Source organism: Homo sapiens, chromosome 3 (genome assembly GCF_000001405.40).
Source record: "Homo sapiens chromosome 3, GRCh38.p14 Primary Assembly".
NCBI lineage: Eukaryota > Metazoa > Chordata > Mammalia > Primates > Hominidae > Homo > Homo sapiens.
The window spans coordinates 142,319,695-142,342,434 of NC_000003.12; the positions used below are offsets into that span (position 1 = coordinate 142,319,695).

The 22,740-nt window shown below is 36.9% G+C and overlaps 1 protein-coding gene across 11 annotated transcripts in view; it reads right to left on the reverse strand.

The window, feature by feature from the left end:
* XRN1 (5'-3' exoribonuclease 1) overlaps positions 1 to 22,740 on the reverse strand; it is a 141,428-nt gene that overhangs the window by 13,085 nt on the left and 105,603 nt on the right. For 5 of the 11 annotated variants that reach the window (XM_017006641.2, XM_011512920.3, NM_001282857.2 and 2 more), the window contains 4 exons: positions 15,754 to 15,815; positions 13,273 to 13,395; positions 12,681 to 12,840; positions 9,740 to 9,921 (listed from right to left, as the gene is read on the reverse strand). In XM_017006641.2, the coding sequence (XP_016862130.1) occupies positions 9,740 to 9,921; positions 12,681 to 12,840; positions 13,273 to 13,395; positions 15,754 to 15,815 (527 nt within the window). Of the gene's footprint in view, positions 1 to 9,739; positions 9,944 to 12,680; positions 12,841 to 13,272; positions 13,396 to 15,753; positions 15,816 to 22,740 lie in introns of those variants that run through there. The other 6 variants (XM_047448357.1, XM_047448356.1, XM_017006640.2 and 3 more) reach the window with 3 other exon arrangements.

Sequence of the window (22,740 nt, forward strand, 5' to 3'; positions counted from 1 at the left end):
TAATGTCTATTATTCCACTCTGTATGTCCATGTTTAGTTCCCATTTATAAATGAGAACATGTGATATCTGACTTTCTGTTTCTGAATTATTTCACTTAGGATAATGGCCCCCAGTTCCATTAATGTTGCTACAAGATACGTGATTTCATTCTTTTTATGGCTGGATAATATTACATGGTGTGTGTATAGGATAGTAGTACATGGTGTGTGTATACACACACACACACACACACACACGCACGCACACATACCCACACACATTTTCTTTATCCAATCATCCACTGATGGACACTTAGGTTGATTCCCTATCTTTGCTACTGTGAATAGTGCTGTGATAAACATACAAATGCAGGCATACTTTTTATATAATGATTTCTTTTCCTGGGGTAGATACCCAGAAGTGAGATTGCTGGATTAAATCATAGTTCTATTTTTAGCTCTTTGAGAAACCACCATACTGTTTTCATACAGGTTGTACTAATTTATATTCCAACCAACAGTGTATAAACACTCCCTTTTTGCTACATCCTTGCCAAAATCTGTTTTTTGACTTTTTTAATAATAGCCATTCCGCCTGGTATGAGATGGTATCTCATTGTGGCCCTAAAATCTGCACTTCTCTGGTAATTAGTAATGTTGAACATTTCTTTCATGTTTGTTGGCAACCCCTTGAGATGTCTTCTTTTGAGAAATGTTCACTCATGACCTTTGCCTGTTTTTAATGGGGTTATCTGTTTTTTACTTGTTGAGTTCCTTATAGATTCTGGATATTTAGTCCTTTGTCAGATACATAGTTTGCAAATACTGTAGATTGTCTGTTTACTCTGTTGATTATTTCTTTTGCTGTGCAGGAGCTTTTTAGTTTAGTTGAGTCCCATTTGTCTATTTTTGTTTTTGTTGCATTTGCTTTTGAGATTAGTCATAAATCTTTGTCTAGGCCAATGTCCAGAAGTTTTTCCTAGGGTTTCTTATAGGATTTTTATTGTTTCAGGTCTTACATTTAAGACTCATTTCATGAGTTCTCTATATATTCCAGATATTTTTTATCAGATATATCATTAGGAAGTATTTTCTCTTATTCTATGAGTTACCTTTTTCACTCTTGTTATTGTCTTTTGATGCACAAAATGTTAAAATTTCCATGAAGTACAATTTGTCCATGTTTTCTTTCGTGGCCTGTGCTTCTGGTGTCATATCCCAGAAATCACTGCCAAATCCAATGTTGTGAAGCTTCTGCCCTAAGTTTTCTTCTAAGACTTTTATAGTTTTAGGCCTTATCTTACATTTAGGTATTTGATCCATTTTGAGTTAATTTTCATATATTATGTTAGTTAGGTAAGGGCTAACTTCATTCTTTAAAATGTGAATATCCAGTTACCCAGCACCATTTGCTGAAAGATCATCCACTTCCTTTTTTTTTTTTTTTTTTTTTTTTTGAGATGGAGTCTCACTCTGTTCTCTGTTGCCCAGGCTGGAATGCAGTAGCGTGATCTTGGCTCACTGCAACTTCTGCCTCCCAGGTTCAAGCAATTCTCCTGCCTCAGGCTCCCAAGTAGCTGTGATTACAGGTGCATGCCATCATGTCCAGCTAATTCTTTGTATTTTTAGTAGAGACAGGGTTTCACCATGTTGGCCAGGCTGGTCTTGAACTCCTGACCTCAAGCGATCCGCCTGCCTCGGCCTCTGAAAATGCTGGGATTACAGGCATGAGCCATTGCGCCCGGCTATCCACTTCCAACTGAATGGTCTTGACAACTTGTCAAAAAATATTTTGAACATGTATGCAAGGGTTTATTTTTGGGCTCTCTGTTCTATTCCATTGGGATTTTGATAGGAGGTGCACTGAATTTGTAGACTGCTGTGGGTAGTACTGAGATCATAACAATATTAAGTTTTCCAATCCACGAACAGAGTGTGTTTCTATTTGTCTTTTTACATGTCTTTCAGCAACATTTTGTAGTTTTCGGTGTATAAGCACATCATTTCCTTTGTTACTTTTATTCCTTAGCATTTTATTATTTTTGATACTATAAATAGTTTTGATACTATCATAGTTTTCTTAATTTCCTTTTCAGATTTTTCACTGTTAGTGTATAAAAATACAACTGATTTTTGTCAGTTGATTTTGTATTCTGCAACTTTGCTGCATTTATTAGTTGGGATTTTTTGTGGAATCTTTAGAGTTTTCTACTATAAGATCATATCATCTGCAAACGGATACTGCTTTACTTCTTCCCTTCTAATTTAGATGTCTTTTATTTATTTATTTTTCTTACTTAATTGCTCTGGACAGAACTTCCATTACTGTGCTGAATAGAAGTGGTGAAAGCAGGCATCTTTGCCTTGGCCCTGATTTTAGAAAAAACTGCTTTCTGTTTTAGGTTAGAGGGTATCAAGAACTGGATATAAAGAGAATAAAACAACTTTCTTGCGGTCAGTAGGTCTCAAAGTGCAGTCTGGGGATAGCTGAGGGTCTGCGAGACCCTTTCAGGGAGGCACTGAGATCAAATTTTCATAATTATATATGCATATATTTTTTAGAGTTGGGGTCTCACTCTGTTGCCCAGGCTGGAGTACAGTGGTGTGATCAAGGCTCACTGTAGCCAACTACCAGGTTTAAGCAATCCTCTCACATCAGCCTCCTGAATAGCTGAGAATATAGGTGGGTACTACCACGCTTAGCTGTTTTTAAAGTTTTTTTAGAGATGATGGTCGGGCGCAGTGGCTCATGCCTGTAATCTTAGCACTCTGGGAGGCTGAGGCAGGCAGATCACCTGAGGTCAGGAGCGTGAGACTAGCCTGGCCAACATGGTGAACCCTGTCTCTACTAAAAATACAAAAATTAGCCGGGTGGGGTTGCATGTGCCTGTAGTCCCAGCTACTCAGGAGGCAGGAGAATCGCTTGAACCTGGCAGGTGGAAGCTGCAGTGAGCTCGTGCCACCGCACTCTAGCCTGGGCGAACAGAGCGAGGTTCTGTCCCCAAACAAACAAACAAAAAAAAATTGTTTTTTAAAGAGATGAGTTCTAGCCCAGGCACGGTGGCTCACACCTATAATCCCAGCACTTTGGGAGGCCGAGGCAGGTGGATCACGAGGTAAGGAGTTCGAGACCAGCCTGACCAACATGGTGAAACCCCGTCTCTATTAAAAATACATAACTTAGCCGAGCGTGGTGGCATGCACCTGTAATCCCAGCTACTCAGGAGGCTGAGGCAGGATAATCGCTTGAACCCGGGAGGCGGAGGTTGCAGTGAGCTGAGATCACAGCACTGCACTCCAGCCTGGGTGACAGAGCGAGACTCTGTCTCAAAAATAAAGAGATGAGGTCTTGCCCAGGCTGATCTCAAACTACTGAGCTCAAGTGATCCTTCTGCCTCAGCCTCCTGAGTTGTTGGGCTTACAGGTGTGAGCCACCGCATCTAGCGCATGATTATATTGAGGTGCTATGCTCTTTTTCGCATTACTTTTTCTTATTTCCTACCTTCTCACAAGTATATGGAGGACAAAAATGTTTATTGATAAGGTTTCAGATTCCACACTGCAAGATTCCACACTGCAACTAACCTTAAACAAAATACCACTCTTAAGGTTTTTTTTTTGTTTTTTTTTTTTAAATGGAGTTTTGCTCTGTCATGCGCCACCATACCTGGCTAATTTTTGTATTTTTAGTAGAGATGGGGTTTCACCACACTGGCCAGGCTGGTCTCGAACTCCTTACCTCAAGTGATCCGCCTGCCTTGGCCTCCCAAAGTGCTGGGATTACAGACGTGAGATACCATGCCCGGCCCACTTTTAAGTTTTAATGTAATATTAAAGTATAGCCAAAACTATCTGAAAAGGCTATTAAGATTCTCTTCATTTTTCTAATTTTGTATCTGTATGAGGACATAGATTTCTACAAAAAAACACGTATCACTAGGGATTGACAGTATTAAGCAGACAGGAGAATCTAGCTTCTCCTATTACTACTGTGGTGAGAAGGATTTTTAAAATGTAGAGCAGGACGGGCATGGTGGCATGTGCCTGTAATCCTAGCACTTTGGGAAGCCAAGGTGGGAGGACTGCTTGAAGCCAGCCTGGGCAACAAAATGACACCCCATCTCTTTAAAAAAAAAATTCGAGTAATATCACTCTTCTAACTAAATTTTTTAAGTAGTTAATATTTTTTACTATTTTTTTTTTGTTTCTAGTTTTATGAATACATAATAATTATAACACACATTTATGGGGTACATGTGATATTTTGATACAAGGATACAATGTATAATGATCAAATCACAGTAACTGAGATATCCATCACCTCAAGTATTTATCATTTTTGCTGTGTTAGGAACATTTCAATTCCACTCTTTTGGTTATTTTAAAATATATATTATTGGGTTTTTTTTCAGTTTTTTTTTTATTATTTTTATTTTTTTTACTATAAGTTTTAGGGTACATGTGCACAACGTGCAGGTTTGTTACATATATATACATGTGCCATGTTGGTGTGATGCACCCGTTAACTCTTTATTTAACATTAGGTATCTCTCCTAATGCTATCCCTCCCCCCTCCCCCCACCCACAACAGTCCCCAGCGTGTGATGTTCCCCTTCCTGTGTCCATGTGTTCTCACTGTTCAATTCCCACCTATGAGTGAGAACATGTTGTGTTTGGTTTTTTGTCCTTGAAATAGTTTGCTGAGAATGATGGTTTCCAGCTTCATCCATGTCCCTACAAAGGACATGAACTCATCATTTTTTATGGCTGCATAGTATTCCATGGTGTATATCTGCCACATTTTCTTAATCCAGTCTATCGTTGTTGGACAATTGGGTTGGTTCCAAGTCTTTGCTATTGTGAATACTGCTGCAATAAACATAGGTGTGCATGTGTCTTTATAGCAGCATGTTTTATAATCCTTTGGGTATATACCCAGTAATGGGATGGCTGGGTCAAATGGTATTTCTAGTTCTAGATCCCTGAGGAAATGCCACACTGACTTCCACAATGGTTGAACTAGTTTACAGTCCCAACAACAGTGTAAAAGTGTTCCTATTTCCCCATATCCTCTCCAGCACCTGTTGTTTCCTGACTTTTTAATGATCACCATTCTAACTGGTGTGAGATGGTATCTCATTGTGGTTTTGATTTGCATTTCTCTGATGGCCAGTGATGATGAGCATTTTTTCATATGTCTGTTGGCTGCATAAATGTCTTCTTTTGAGAAGTGTATATCTTGAGAAGTGTGTATATATATACACACACATCTTCTTCATCCATTTATCCATTGATGGACACTTAGGTTGATTTTGTATCTTGGCTTTTGTGAATAGCACTGCAATAAACATGAGAGGACAAATATCTCTTACATATACTGATATTTTTTCTTTTGGACCTATACCCAGCAGTGGAATTGCTGGATCATATGGTAGGTCTATTTTTATCTTTTTGAGCAATTTCCATGCTGTATGTCCTTCATAGTGGCTGTACTAATTTACGTTTCCACCAACAATGTATGAGGGTTTCCCTTTCTCTGCATCCTTACCAGCATCCATTATTGCCTGTTTTTTATTTTTTGGTAAAAGCCATTTTAATTGGAGATATATCATTGTAGTTTTGATTTGCATTTCTCTAATGTAGTGATGTTGAGCATTTTTTCATATACCTGTTGGCCATTTGTATGTTTTCTTTTTAGAAATGTTTGCTGAGATCATTTGCCCATTAAAAATTTTTATAGTTATATTTTATTTTTTAAAAATTCAACTTTTGTTTGACACATGGGGGTATACATGCAGGTTTGTTACATGGGTATATTGCATTTGCCCACTATCAAATGGGATTTTTTGTTTTTTTTCTCTTATTGTTTGAGCTCCTTATATATTCTGGCTATTAATATCTTGTCAGATGGGTAGTTTGCAAATATTTTCTCCTCTTCTGTGTATTGTCTTTTCACTTTGTTGATTGTTTCCTTTGTTGTGCAGAAGCTTTTTAAGCTTGATGTGATACCGTTTATGCATTTTTGCTTTAGTTGCCTGTGCTTTTGATGTCTTACTTATCTTTGCCCAAATCAATGTACTGGAGTGTTTCCCCAGTGTTTACTTCCAGCAGTTTAATAGCTACAGATCTAACATTTAAGTCTTTAATCCATTTTGATTTGATTTTTGAAAATGGTGAGAGATAAGCACTTAGTTTCATTCCCTTAAATATGGATATCTAGTTGTCCCAGGATCATTTACTGAAGGGGCTGTTCTTTCCCTAACATATGTTCTTGTCATCTTTATAAAAAATAAGTTGACTGTAACTGTGTGGATTTATTTCTGGATTCTCTATTCTGTTCCATTGGTCTCTGTCTGTTTTTAAGCCAGTACCATGTTGTTTTGGTTATGTAACTTTGCAGTATAATGCCTCCAGCTTTGTTCACTTTGCTCTGGATTGCCGTAGCTATTCAGGATCGTGTGCGGTTCAAGATAAATTTTAGGATTTTTTTTTTTTTTCTATTTCTGTCAAGAATGTCATCGGTATTTTGAGAGGAGTTGCACTGTATCTGCAGATTGCTTGGGGGTGGTATAGACATTTTAACAATATTGATTCTTCCAATACATGAACATGGACAATCTTTCCATTTCTTTGTGTCTTCTTCAATTTCTTGCATCATTGTTTTATAATAAGTTTTCATTGTAGAGATCTTTCACTGCTTTGGTTAACTTGATTAATTTCTAGGTATTTTATTTATTTGTAGCTATTCTGCAGGGGATTAATTTCTTGGTTTCTTTTTCAGATTGTTTGCTGTCAGTATATAGAAATGTGACTGATTGTATGTTGATTTTGTATCCTACAACTTCACTGAATTTATCAATTCTAATAGTTTTTTTCTAAATATAAGATTATATTGTCTACTAACAAGAGTAGTTTGACTCCTTCCTTTCCCTTTTGGATGCCTTTTATTTATTTCTGTTGTCTAATTGCTCTGGCAAGGATTTCCAGTACTATATTAACAGTGGTGAAAGTGGGCATCCTTGTCTTGTTTCCAGAATTTAAAGGAAAGTATTTCATTTTTCCCCCATTCAGTATGATACTAGCTGTGGGTTTGTTGTTGTTTATTATGTTGAGGTATGTTCCTTCTATACCCAGTTTGTTGAGAGCTGTTATCACAAAGAGATGCTGAATTTTATCAAACACTTTTTCAGTTAGTATTGAAATGATCATATGGTTTTTGTTCTTCATTTTGTTGATGTGTCACAGTTATTGACTGCATATATTTAAACATCCTTGCATACCTGGGATGAATCCCACTTGATCATGATGAATTATCTTTTTAATGTGCCTTTGAATTCAATTCACTAGTATTGTGTTGAAGATTTTTATATCTACTTCATCAGATATATCGGCCTGTAGTTCTCATTTTTTGTAGTGTCTTTCTTTGGTTTTGGTATCAGGGTAATACTGGCAAGTTTGGAAGTATTTTCTCCTCCTCAAGTTTTTGGAACAGTCTGAGTAGAACTCTTATTAGCTCTTCTTTCAGCGTTTGGCAGAATTCAGTAGCGAAAACACCAGGTCCTGGTCTACTTTGATAAGAGGCTTTTTACTACCGCTTCCATCTTGTTAATGTTGTTCTATTCAAGTTTTGGATTTCTTCATGGTTCAATCTTGGTATGTTTTTATGTGTCTCGGAATTCATCCATTTCTTCTAAGTTTTCCAATTTACTGCATATAGTTGCTCATAATAGTCTCTAAAATATTTTGAATTTCTGTGTTATCAGATGTAATGACTCCTTTTTCATCTCTGATTTTATTCATATGGATATTCTCTCTTTTACAGTCCGGCTAAAGGTTTGTTGATTTTGCTTATCTTTTAAAAAAAAAAAACAACTTTTTCTTTCATCCATCTTTTGTACTATTTTTAGTATCAATTCATTAATTTCTGCCCCAATCTTTATCATTTCTTTTCTTCTAATAATTTTGGGTTTGGTTTCCTCTTGCTTTTCTAGTTATTATTTATTTTAAAAATTTGTATAAACGTAAGGGGTGCGAGTGCAGTTTTGTTACATGGATTTATTGCAGAGTGGTAAAGTCTGGGCTTTTCTTATATTCATCACCTGAATTATGTACACTGCATACATTGCAGCCATTAAGTAATTTCTCACCATCTACTCCCTGCCCATCCCCCACCCTTCCAAGTCTCTATTATTTCACACTCTATATCCCTATGTACACATTATTTAGCTCCCACTTATAAATGAGAACATGTGGTATCTGTTCTGAGTTGTTTGCTTAAGATAATGGCCTCAGTTCCATCCATGTTGCTGCAAAAGACATGGTTTCATTCTTTTTTAAAATGTCTGAACAATATTCCATTGTGTATATATACACCACATTTTCTTTATCCAATCATCTGTTGATGGACCCTTAGGTTGATTCTACATCTTGGCTATTGTGACTAGTGCTGCAATATACATACAAATCAGGTATCTTTTTTATACAATTTCTTTTCCTTTAGATAGATACCCAGTAGTGTGACTGCTGGAACTAATTCTTCAAGACACACTGTTAGGTTGTTTATTTGAAGTGTCTGTACTTTTTGGATGCAGGGATTTATTGCTATAATCTTCCCTCCTAGTACTACTTTTGCCGTATCCTACAGGTTTTGGTATGTTGTGTTTCCATTTTCATTTGCTTCAGGAAAATTTAAAATTTTCTCTTAATTTCTTCATTGACCCAAGGGCCATTCAGAAACATAATGTTTAATTTCCATTTATTTGTATAGTTTCCAAAGTTCCTCTTGTTATTGATTTCTGGTTTTATTTCATTATGGTCAGAAAATATACTTGATTGAATTTTAATCTTTTGAATTTTGTGAGACTTGTTTTGTGGCTTAACATTTGGTTTATCCTTGAGAATGTTCCATTTGTTGAGGAAAAGAATGTATATTCTACAGCTGTTGGATGAAATGTTCTACAGATGTCTATTAGGTGAAAGTTATTTTTAATAAACAATGGATTAATAAACATATAGGTTTACTTGTAATATTATATATATATATATATATATATATATATATATATATATATATATATATATATATATATATATATATGTTTCAGAGACAAGGTCTTGCTCTGTTGCCCAGGCTGGAGTGCAATGGCATAATCGTGGCTCACTGAAGTCCTGACCTCCTGGGCTTCCGTCCTCCTGCCTCAGCCTTGTGAGCAGCTGGGACTACAGGCTCACAACACACATGGCTAATTTTATTTTTATATTCTTTTGTAGAGATGAGGTCTTGCTATGTTGCCCAGGCTGGTCTTAAACTCCCAGCCTCAAGCTGTCCTCCCGCCTTGGCCTCCCAAAGTGCTGAGTTACAGGCATGACCCATTACAACTGGCCAATTTTTTTTGTTTTAATTTCAAACACAGTAAATATGGATATAAGTAAACAAAATCTCTTTGGGGTCCTCCAAAAAAAGTGTGAAGTTTCTGAGACCAAAAAGTTTGAAAATTGCTACTGTAGGCCAAGATCCCTGGCTCTATTAGTTTGAGGAATCTTGCCAGGATACCTGCTGCCCAGTTCCTCCCTGTCAGCTTCTCTTAGGGCTTTGGTTATGTATAAATATTAGAGCTAGGGTAAGAAGCATAAATCTATGCTGCTCATAAAGTTAAGAAAAATAGGCCCCATTTTATTTTTTCTAGCTAAACATTTTCAACCAATTTATTTAAGCTTAATGTTAAATAATTTATATAAATAGAACAGTAGTATACTATACCTGTGGCATCCTAAGAAAGGAGAAATCAGGTTGTGGCATTCCAACAAGGGAACAAATTCGAGAAAGTTCAGTTACTGGTGTGGATACAGGAGGGATCTGGCTGGGGGCAGGCCAACACATATTGTCCATAGACTGAACATTATGGTACTCATTAGCACTGTGAGGCTTGTTCATATAAGATGCTACCAAAAAAGAGAAAAGAGTCTATCTTTATTAATAAAATACTATCTCAAATTATGCACTTATTGTAGGGTTTTATAGAAGAGCAAGCAGGAAACTGCTAAAAAGTGAAGTGAATTGCTCAAGGCCACCCATTATTAAATAACAGAATCAGGATTTCAGGTGGCTCTAGTTCCAAATCCTGGACTCTAGCAGTACAACCTGCCATCCAAGTGACTGTCAGCTTACCTTCAGTGGTCCTCTGGCCACGCACCTTATAAATTTGGTCGAAAACCTTGAAAAATTCAGTTAGACGCTATAGAGCCACCAACTGCATTAAAAAGATGAGTCTTCCATGAAGCACATATAAACAACTATTTAGTACTTCCTAAAATTATTGTGACTTCAGTAAAGGTTTTTGGATGAGTATAATTGATTAATGATAAATTATTAAGATAAAGATTTTAAAATATAAGTACCTAACTGCCAAAAATTAAAACCTTGAGCAGCTAATGACTACATGGTACTGCTACAGGTAAAATTTGAACAAACAAATGGCTTTCTTGTTTTGCAGAAGTAAGAAGAGAAAAATAAAAGAATGAATAAACAAATGGCTTTCTTGAGCTGAAATATAATTCATCCTTAAGTTTTGAAGTTTTGGCTTCCACCTCAATTCTTGCAATTCCACCTTACATTCTGAGACACATGGATGAATATTTTTGTGGCTCTGAAATAATATTTCTTAAAAGTTTTTTTTGAAATTGTCTTCTAAGTGTTTTTATATGGAAGATGATTTTAAAATTCTGAGTGTTCACATTCTTTATGATTAACAAACTCACTAATAGAACAAAAGCATACCTCATTGAAGAATTAATCCAAACTTCTTACTAATATAGATTAAAAAAGCAGTTAAGTGGCTTGCTCAAAGTCACAGAGCCAGTTAGTTCTATAACAGGGGCTGGATTCTGAGCTAGTGACCCTAAGACTCTAAAGCCTATGAGTTTTTTTTTTTTTTTTTCCTATACTGAAATAAAGTAAAACTTACTTGTTTTTGACAATGGGACCATCTTTATCTAATTTTGTCTTAAAATTAATTTGGTTCTATTTCAGGACCATGTCTGTCACTATAATAAATAATCAGGTTCCTAATATTTTTTGGAATTTTTAATTAATTATCACTGGAATATAAATGGGGTTAGGTTCTGCTTTTATTCCAGGTTTTGTTTTTGTTTTGACAGAGTTTCGCTCTTGTTGCCCAGGCTCGAGTGTGATGGCGTGATCTTGGCTCACTGCAACCTCCACCTCCCGGGTTCAAGCGATTCTCCTGATTCAGCCTCTGAAGTAGCTGGGATTACAGCTACTTGGTGGCGCCTGCCACCACACCCGGCTAATTTTTTGTATTTTTAGTAGAAAGGGGGTTTCACCATGTTGGCCAGGCTGGTCTCAAACTCCTGACCTCAGGTGATCCACCCGCCTTGGCCTCCCAAAGTGCTGGCATTACAGATGTGGGCCAACGTGCCCAGCCAATTCCAGGTTTTGATCTTTAATACGCTTAGATCTGCTTATTCCAAAATGTTTTTGACTTCTCTGAGAAACTTCTGCCCACATCCACTTTTGTATCAGTCATTCTTCCTGGCTGCCTTTAGTAGATCATTATACAGATAAAATGCTAAAGTATAGAGGACATTCAGGGTAGGAACAAATATGGCGGATATTTACTGAAATCCAGTTATGTGCCAGATGTTATGCTATAGGCTTTACAGACTTAAGAGTATGACTCACTTTCCTATATCTAACTCTATTAATGATTTTTAATTGATTTTGTAGATTTTTCTATTTTTACAACAGTTAGGTTATTTTAACATAATATTAATATCAATTATTAGCACCTACAATGTGTTGGACATAGTGCTGTTTTATATTTATACATGTTATATAATTACCACAAGTAATCTGTAATGTATTATTCTTATTTTATAAATAAGAAACAAGATTTCAGAAAAGTTAAATAATGTATTTAAGTTACATGATAATTTTTAAATTACTGAGGACAAAAGCTAGAATGTGCAAACTTTTAAAGGTTTGGATGTCTACAGAATGATTATCTATAACACTACAATTAAGTAATCACAAGAAGACATTTAGTGACTGTAGATCTATTGGTTACATGGTTGTATTATTATTGTTCTTTTTGTTTTTTGAGACAGGGTCTATCTCTGTTGCCCAGGTTAGAGTGCAGTGGCGTGATCTTGGCTCACTGCAACCTCTGCCTCCAAGGCTCAAGCAATCCTACCACGTCAGCCTCCCCAGTAGCTGGGACTACAGGCACACGCCACCACACCTAGCTAACTTTTGTATTTTTTAGAGAGACAGAGTTTCCGCCATGTTGCCCAGGCTGGTCTTGAACTCCTGAGCTTAAGAGATCCGCCTGCCTCAGCTTCCCAAAGTTCTGAGATTACAGGCATGAGCCACACCTGGCCAGTTATATTATTATATAACTGAAACAAATATAAAAATTATAGTTTTAAGAATAAAAGTAGTTTTGGGCCAGGTGTGGTGGCATATACCTGTAATCCCAGCACTTTGGGAGGCTGAAGTGAGAGGATTGCTTGAGGTCAGAAGTTTGAGACCAGCCTGGCCAACACAGCAAGACACCATCTCTAAAATAAATAAATACATTAAAATAAAAGCAGTTTTATCTTTAAAAGTACATGATTAAAAAGAACCAAATGAATTGAATTTTTAAAATGATATTATTGGTAATAGTATTTAGTTTACTTACCTAATTTCTTATTTTGTTTAGGCTGAGAGGGTAATCCATATTCATCTCTTCTGTTAGAGGAAACAGGGATTTCATTAGCAATCTGTTTGATTTCATTCTTATGGTCCACAGTGTTAGAGCCATCAATTTTTAGAATTTCTTTAAGCATCCGTGTTCCCTTCTTTTTGAAAATGATTCACATGGAGATGGTGAGGGTGAAGAGAACAAAGTCAACATTACATCTGTAGAACTTATTGATCTTTCTTGGAAAGAATTCCATTGTTAACAATTAAGACATTAACTACATTCAGATAGAAACTGAAAAAAAAAAACCCAACACCCACATTTCTGATACAGAAACGATACTTATCCTCCTGCTTAACTTTCATCCCAGTTACCTAGTAGCAATGTTTGAAAAGCAGGGGAACTGTGGTCTAAAGAGAAAAAGTATGGCTAAATTGCCCAGGGCAGCCTGGTTTCCTCACAAGATGACAATAATGATGTAACATACCAGCCTCCATGATGGAAGTGTTTGAACACTTGCATGGGATATGTCTGCATGGTCAACAGTCGAGAAATTACCACAGTAAGAAAGTTCCTACAAAATACGAACCATGGCAAATGACTGTGGTGACAAATGCTCTTCACTTGGAGGCTCCCCATGATGAGATGACTGTACTTCATTTTCTTTGGAGATATTCAAAGATGCTAAAAAGTTCTCAATTCCAGAGTTAGGCTAAAAGAATAAATATTTTGGGCATGAAGATGAACGTATAATACAAGAACACACAAAAAGCTGAGTTTTATGTACAAAAATGGTCATTCGATTTTCACTCAATCATCTTCCCAGGTGTTAAAGTTTGGGAAGAGAATTGGAATAAATAGTTTTTTACCTTATCAATAGCATTTGGATAACCAGTCACAACCTTTTGGGTTTCTGAGACTTCTGGACTTTCATTTCTCTTCAATAGCTTAATATTATATTTGGCAGGCCCTTCTAAAGTCTATTAAAAAAGTAAGAATAAACTTTTTGTGCAAATATATTTATAGTTAATATGTAATAGTGTTCTAAATAAATTGTTGCAAAAAAATTTTATGTGCTATTTTCCCTTTTGTATCATAAGAAAAGGGGCCTATAAACTTGGATGGGGAAAATTACACCTTAATCTTCATTAACCTCTCAATGAGATTTAGCATTTCCTGCAATTATGAATATAGGCAACAAAACACTTATATGGTCTGCATGTTTGTATTCCCCCAAAATTCTTCTGTTAAAATCCTAACTCCTAATGGGATCATATTAGGAGGTGGGGCCTTTGGTAGGTAATTAAGTTTAGATGAGGTCTTTAGGGTGCAACATCCATGATGGTATTAGTGTCCTTATATGAATAGAAAGAGAATAGAGCTCTTTCTCTCCATCATGTTAGAATATGAGAAGACGCATCATCTGCAAGCCAGAAAGGGAGCCCCCACCAGACAATGGCACTTTACCGGATTCTAACTGTATTTCAATATAACTGGTTTTCTCTTAAATCTTTTTAGCATTAAAGACATTATTCTGCTAGTGCCTTGATCTTGGACTTCTCAGATTCCAGAGCTGTGAGAAATAAATGTTTATTGTTCAAATGTACCTAGTCTATGGTATTGTTATTATAGCAGCCCAAATCAACTATGAAAACCACAACAGTGGTGATTCTAATTGTATATCAGTATAACTGGTTTTCTTTAAAATCGTATGTATTTTATTTTAGCATTAAAAATACTATTCTGAGAATAATAATGGCTTCACCAAAAGTCCATGGGCTTCACCAAAGATGTCTATTGAACAAAAAGTTTATCAATCCCTTTTCTAGAAGAAAGGAAATTACAGTATAAGAGTTTCAAATGGAGAGGGCCTTAAAAGTCAAGTAATTAAACCGTTTACTGGTATCTAAACATTAATGGGTTCCATTTACTACCTGTTATGTGCCAAATATTCAGCTAAGACCTTTTATAAATTTAATATATTACTATAAGAGATCAATTTAAAAAAATATATATTAAAATATGATAGGCATACAGAAAAGTACACATCTAATAAATATACGTGTCAAATTTTTTTAGATCAAAGATTTGTTATTCTTTCATTATAAAATGCATCCATAATCCTTGTAAACAGCAGAGACTATATAAAGTAAAACATAAATGATCTTGGCTTCCCCCACACCAATCTAATTCCACAGAAGTTAGCCTGTTAAATTTGCTATTTTGTTCCATGTACTTCAATTGTATATGTAAATATATATTTCTATGTATATATATAAGACCATATATATGTCTATGTGTATATATATAAGACCATATATATATGTCTATGTGTATATATATAAGACCATATATAATGTCTATGTGTGTGTATATATATGTCTATGTATACACACACACACACACACACACACACACACACACAAAAGACCATATATATTGGGAGCAACTACAAGTGATTAATTTTTTTTTTTTTTTGAGACAGAGTCTCACTGTTGCCCAGGCTGGAGTGCAGTGGTGCGATTTCAGCTCACTGCGACCTTTGCCTCATGGGTTCAAGTGATTCTCCTGCCTCAGCCTCCCGAGTAACTGGGACTACAGCAGGCACATGCCACCACGCCTGGCTGATTTTTTTGTATTTTTAGTAGAGACGGGGTTTTACCATGTTGGCAAGGCTGGTCTCGAACTCCTGACCTCAGGTGATCCGCCCACCTTGGCCTCCCAAAGTGCTAGGATTACAGGCATGAGCCACCACGCCTGGACAAGTGATTAATATTTTTATCTCCACTTAAAGATGAGAAAATTGAGGCTGTGAGAGGTAAAGTGAATTGCTCAAGGCCACCCAACTATTAAATGAGAGAATCAGGATTTCAGGTGCCTCTAGTTCCAAATCCAGGACTTTAGGTGTACAACCTCCCATCCAAGTGACTGTCAGCTTAACTTCAGTGACCCTCTGGCCACACACCTTATAAATTTGGTTGAAAAGGTTGAGAAATTCAGTCCAATGCTACAGAGCCACCAATTGCATTAAAAAATTGGTAACTAGAAATTTGATTTTAAGGAAGCTTACCTGCTTATTGGACATTTTTTGGGACCAACACTCAGCTTTAGGACTCTTACACTCTTCTTTAACTAGAGACAAGAAAACAGAAATTTTCATAAATGGAAGTGTTTACTGCACAATTAAAACTACCAAATATTTATAATAGCAAGGCACTGTGTTAAAAATTCAGAGAATTTCAAGACACAGTCTCTGAACTTAAGGAATTTATAACATAGATAAGGGGGAGAAGAGACACTTAGATAATAATAGAGAAAATGGAAAGGTGGCATCTGAATTGGGCCTCGAAGGAGGTAGGTTCTAAAGGGCAGACTAAGAAGTTAAGTACTCCAGGCAAAGCAAATAGTGGGAAAAAAGACATGGAAGCAGAAAGCAAGTTCCACTGGAAGTTAAGGGTAAAATGGAGCTTGAGAGAACTAAAAAAGCAGGTTAGAGCCATAATCTGCAAGTCACTGAAGACTACGGTATTATATTAAGTTGGTAGGAAATGGGCAGCCAGTAACAGAAAGGTTTAAGCAGGTAGTAATCTGATGAGAACTGTGCTTTAGGACGATTAAAATATGGCCATAGCCTATTGGCTAAATAGAAGAATAGTACAAGACCAACTCAGGCAGCTATTTTAATAGTTCTGTTAAGGGGAAATTGGGGGATGGTAGGAGAAATGAAAAGAATGAATTTGAAAAATTCTAGGATTTAGCAAATGACAGGATGTGAAGATGAAGGAGATAGGAAAGGATGAATTTGAGAGATTATTTTCATAGGATTTGGTAAATGACAGAATATGAAGATGAAAAATATGAGGGGCATGAGGTAGATATGAAGAAGCACAAAAAGCATAGTTTGTAATTATTGCATAATATTCTATTATATTGGATATACTGGATTATATAGCTATATAGATCTACTATAACTTATTTTTACCACTTTCTATCACTAGACTGTTCATTAAGCCAGTCTGAAAAAATAAAAAGGTGGGTGGAAAGAGAAGAGGAAAAAGGAAGGAAGGAAGGAAGGGAAGGGAGGGAGGGAGGCAATATTAAAAAAGAAAGAGAGGCTGAGGAAAGAAGCAGGGGAAGGGGAATAGTGAGGAGGGCATGGGAGGAGGGAATGAGATCAGAGACAGGGGAAGGAAGGACAAAGGGGAGAAGGAAGGGTAAGAGAAGGAATAGAGAGAGAGGAAAAGAGAAGGGGAGGAAGGGGAGTAAAGGAAGGTAATGGAGGTAAGGAAGAGAGGAAGGGAAGAAAGTAATCTTACAAAACAAAGGAAAAGAAAATGTGAGCTGACAAGCATTAACACTAAACATTTGTTGAGACATACACAAAAGAAAACTAACTGGAACTCCACATAACTCAAATAGTTTACATACATTTATGTAAATATTAGTTTGGAGAAAAATTAAAATCCATTTGAATATAACACCTTTATGCTATATTTATCATTATCAGATTTACAGGGACATTAATCTGTATTTAACTTAAAGAGTAAAATAAACCAAAATAACATACAGATACTGGTATTAAAAAAAGGTATAGCACTTACCAAACTGAACCAAAGTTAAAAACCACAAAATTTTTTTTGAAAATAGCTTTTTAGAAAAATGTTTAAAAGATTTTAATACCTATAATATATAGATAAATAAAATACCATGCATATATAAAATATAATAAGTTAGACTCAGGGGTCTGCACTTGATATTTCCTCTACTGGAAAGTTCTTCAGCCAGCTTTGCATAGTTCATGCCTTCCTGAGCCCTTTATTAGGGTCTCTGCTGGAATCTCATCTCCTCAGAAAGGCCTTTCTTGTAAACCCAATTTAAAAGAGCACCCCTGTCACTCTATCCTCTTAATCTGTTTTACTTTTTCATCATAGCACTTATTATTACTTCAGATTATGGAATTTACTGTTTACTTGCTTATTATCAGTCTTCATCTTAGAGTGTAAACTCCATTATACTCTAGGAGGTCAGAAAATTTGTCTTCCTTTTTAGTCATGTATCCCCAGCATCTAGAACAGTGCCTTGTACTCAATAAATAGTAGTTGAATAAATAAACGAATAACAAATGAGTCATATTTTGAACATAAAGAATAATTTTCTGCAATTTGGAAATCCTTTGGTCAAGGGAAGAGAAATAATTACTACAGGATGAAGATTCTCATTCCCAACTGTGCCTGAACACAGTAGACACTACTGAAGAAATTTAAAGAGTATAAACATATAAATTATGTGAGAGAATATTAACAAAATATTTGCACCTATTTTAAAGAAAAGCCTGTAATATAATTTGGAGTATATAATAGGCAAGTGTTTATAAGCAGAAAAGTAACTGGATCACTCTAAGATTTATCTCAAGTTGTTAGGGAAGGGACATCAGCAAAATGTCAGAGTAAGGACCTCCAAAAATTCTCTCCTCCATAAAATCAACAAGAGAATGGGCATAAATTAGCAGAATTCATATTTTCAGAACCACAGAAGTTAACCAAAGGCTTGCAGCAATCTAGGGAGTGTTTATTCAAGAAAAAAGACAGTGGGAACTTGAGTACCTGCAAGCCTTGCCCCCATGGACTGAAGTGCTTTGGAGCCTTAAATAAACCTGAAAGGCTGTCCAGGCCACAAGGACTACACGTCCTAGTGTTGAGTTGGGCTTGCAGCCTTTTACTTGCTAGGCATGTGACTTACTGAGACTCTTGCTGGGGCAGCTAAGGAAGTGCTTGTGCCACCACTTCCCCAACTCCCCCAACCCCAGGCAACACAGCTTGAGGCTCCAAAAGACATCCCTCTCTTCCACTTGACGAAAGAAAAGGGAAGAGTAAAGAGGACTTTTGTATCTTGGATACCAACTCAGGCTTGTGTCAGAGTCATGAGACCCCATTTCAGGCCTTAGCACTCCTGGATGACATCTCTAGACACGCCCTGGGCCAGAAGGGAACCTACAGTCCTGAAGGGAAGAACCCAGTCCTGGCAGGATTCATCACTTGTTAACTAAAGAACCCTTGGGACTGAAACAACCAGCAGCGATACCAGGTAGTATCCATGTGCCTTCGATAAGAGTCTGAGACATGCTGGCTTCATAAGAGACCCAGCACATGCCCAGCTGTGGTGATTATACTGAGAGAGTCCTGCTTGAGAAAAGCAGAGGGAAAAGTAAAGGAGATTTTGTCTGCATCTTAGGTACCAGCTCTGCCAAGTGGGACAGAGCACTAAGTGGGCTCTCAGGGTCCCCAATTCCAGGGTGTGGTTTTTAGATGGCATTTCTAGATGTGCCTTGGGCCAGAGGGAACCCCACTGCCCTGAAGGGTGAGTCCCAGGCCAGGCAGCATTTATCACAAGCTGACTGAAGAACCCTTGGGAGTTCATCAGCAACAGCCTAGCAGTACTCCCCATGGGCGTGTGGTTGGTGACGGCCACGGGGAAATACTCTTCTGCCCGCAGAAAGTGAAGGGAAGAGTGGGAAGGGTAGTGGCTCAAGGTTTCAGGGCCAGCTTAGCTGCAGTACAACACAGATTTCTAAGGTTTTTAAATTCAGACCCTGTCTCCTGGATGGCATCTCAGGATCTACCTGGGACCTAAGGGAACACACTTCCCTAAAGGGAAGGACACAAGCCTGGCTGGTTTCACCATCTACTGATTATAGAGCACTAGGACCTTGAGTAAACACAGGTTGACAGCCAGGTATGGCGGGCTGTGGGCGAGATCCAGTACTGTGGTGGCTTCAGGTCTGACCTAGTGCAGTCCCAGTGGTGGTGGCCACAGGGGTACCTGTGTCACCCCATCCCCAAGCCCAGGTGGCTCAGAAAGAGATACCCCATTTGTTTGGGAGAAAGTAAAGGAAGAGAACAAGAGTCTGCCTGGGAATCTGGAGAATTCTTTTGAATCTTCTCCAAGACCACCAAGATGGCACCTCTGATCCTGTAAGAACCACAGAATTATTGGTCTAGGTGTGCTCCTTAATGCAGATGTGGCTTAGATCACAAAATCCAAGTCATTTCAAATACTTGGAAAGTGTTCCCAAGAAGGACTGCTACAAACAAGCCCAGACTTTGAAGACTACGAGATGTATCTAACTCTTTAATCCCCAGACACCAACAAACATCAACAAGCATCAAGACCATCCAGCAAAAAACATGACTTCAACAAATTCAGTAAGGCACCAGGGACCAATCCTGGAGAAACAGAGATATGTGACCTTTCAGACAGAGAATTCAAAATAACTGTTTTGGTCAGGTGCATTGGCTCATGCCTGTAATCCCAGCACTTTGGGAAGCTGAGGTGGGAGGACTGACTGAGCCCAAGCGGTTGAGCCTGCAGTGAGACGTAATAGTACCACTGCACTCCAACAACAGGGCAAGACCCTGCCTCAAAAACAAAAACAAAAAACAAAAACAAACAAACAAAATCCCCAAATAGCTGTTTTGAGGAAACTCAAAGAAATTCTAGATAACACAGAGAAAGAATCAGAATTCTATCAGATACATTTCACAAAGATAGTGAAATAATTAAAAAGAATCAAGCAGAAATTCTGGAGTTGAAAAATGCAACTGACATACTGAAAAATGTATCAGAGTCTCATAATAGCAGAAGTGATTAAGCAGAAGAAAGAATCAGTGAGCTTGAATGGGCCATTTGAAAATATATAGGCTGGGCGCAGTGGCTCATGCCTGTAATCCCAGCACTTTGGGAGGCCGAGGTAGGTGGATCACCTGAGGTCGGGAGTTCGAGACCAGCCTGACCAACATGGAGAAACCCTGTCTCTACTAAAAATACAAAATTAGCCGGGCTTGGTGGCATATGCCTGTAATCCCAGCTACTTGGGAGGCTGAGGCAGGAGAATTGCTTGAACCCAGGAGGCGGAGGTAGCGGTGAGCTGAGATTGCACCACTGCACTCCAGCCTGGGCAATAAAAGTGAAACTCCATCTCAAAAACAACCACACACACAGAGAAGAGAAAAGAGAAAAGAATAAGAAAGAATGAAGCACGTCTACGAGATCTAGAAAACAGCCTCAAAAGGGCAAATCTAAGATTATTAGCCTTAAAGAGAAGGTAGAGAAAGAGGGGTAGAAAGTTTATTTGAAGAGATAATTTCACACAACTTCTCATATCTAGAGAAAGGTATCAATATCCAAGGACAAGAAGGTTATAGAATACTAAGCAGATTTAACCCAAAGAAGACTACCTCAAAGCATTTAATAATCAAACTCCCAAAGGTCAAAGATAAAGAAAAGATCATAAAGCAGCAAGAGAAAAGAAACAAATAACATACAATGGAACTACAATACATCTGGCAGCAGACTTTTCAGTGGAAATCTTACAGGCGAGAAGACAGTGGCATGACATATTTAAAGAGCTGAAGGAAAAAATTTTTTACCCTATAATAGTATATCTGACAAAAAATATCCTTCAAACATGAAGGAGAAATAAAGACTTTCTCAAACAAAAGCTGAGGAATTTCATCAACACCAGATCTGTCCTACAAGAAATGCTAAAGGGAGTACTTTATTCAGAAAGCAAAAAACATTAATGAGCAGTAAGACATTATTTGAAGGCACAAAACTCACTGATAATAGTAAGTACACAGAAAAACACATAACACTGTATGGTATGTAAACTACTCTTATAACTGATGAACCAATGAAAAAAATAACTATGACAACTTTTCAAGGCATAGACAATACAATAAGATATAAATAGAAACAGCAAAATATTATTAAGCAGGAGGATGAAGTTAAATTATAGATTTTTTATTAGTTTTCTTTTTGTTTATGCAAGCAGTGTTGTTAAGTGTTAAGTTGCTTAAAATAATGGGTTATAAGAGAATTTGCAAGACTCATAACTTCAAATCAAAAAACATAAACAGATACACAAAAAATAAAAAGCAAGAAATTATGTCACACCACTAGTGAAAATCACCTTCACTAAAAGGAAGCTAGGAAAGGAGGAAGAGAAGACCAAAAACAACCAGAAAACAAATAACAAAGTGGCAGGAGTAAGTCCTCACTTGTCAATAATAACAAAAGGAAGAATAATAAATAATAATAAAAGGAAGAATAATAATAAAAGGAAGACAGGAAAGGAGGAAGGGAAGACCAAAAAACAACCAGAAAACAAATATCGAAGTGGCAGGAAGAAGTCCTCACTTGTCAATAATAACACTGAATGTCAATGAACTAAACTCTAATCAAAAGACATAGAGTGGCTGAATGGATTAAAAAAAGGACCCAATGATCTGTTGCCTAACAGAAACACACATCACCTATAAAGACACATGCAGACAAATAAAGGGATGGAAAAAGTTATCCAATGTCAATGGAAACCAAAATGGAGCAGGGGTTAGCTATACTTATATTAGACAAAATACATTTCAAGACAAAAACAATAAGACACAAGGAAGATCATTATATAATGATAAAGAGGTCAATTCAGCAAGAGGATATAACAACTGTATAAAAACAATTGTAAAAAAATATATTTCCAACACTGGAGCACCCAGGTATATAGAGCAAATATTACTGGAGCTAAAGAAAGAGATAAATCCAAATATAGTAATAGCTGGATACGTCAAGATTCCACTTTCAGCATTGTACTGACTTTCCAGATGGGAACCAAACAATATTTGGAAAAACCTGAATACTCCACCAAAAAACTATCAGAACTGATAAATTCAGTAAAGTTTCAGGATGCAAAATCAACATACAAAAATCAGTAGCATTTTTATATGTTAACGGCAAACAATCTGAAAAAGATATCAAGAAAGTAATTCCATTTACAATAGCTACAGATAAAACTAATTACCTAGGAATTAACCAAAGAGTTCTCTACAATGAAAACTATAAAACATTGATGCAAGAAATTGAAGAGGACACAAAAAAAGAGAAAGATATTCCAAGGTTCACAGACTGGAAGAATCAATATTGTTAAAATGTCCTATTACTCAAAGGGATCTACAGATTCAATGCAATCCCTGTCAAAATACCAATGAAATTCTTTACATAAATAGAA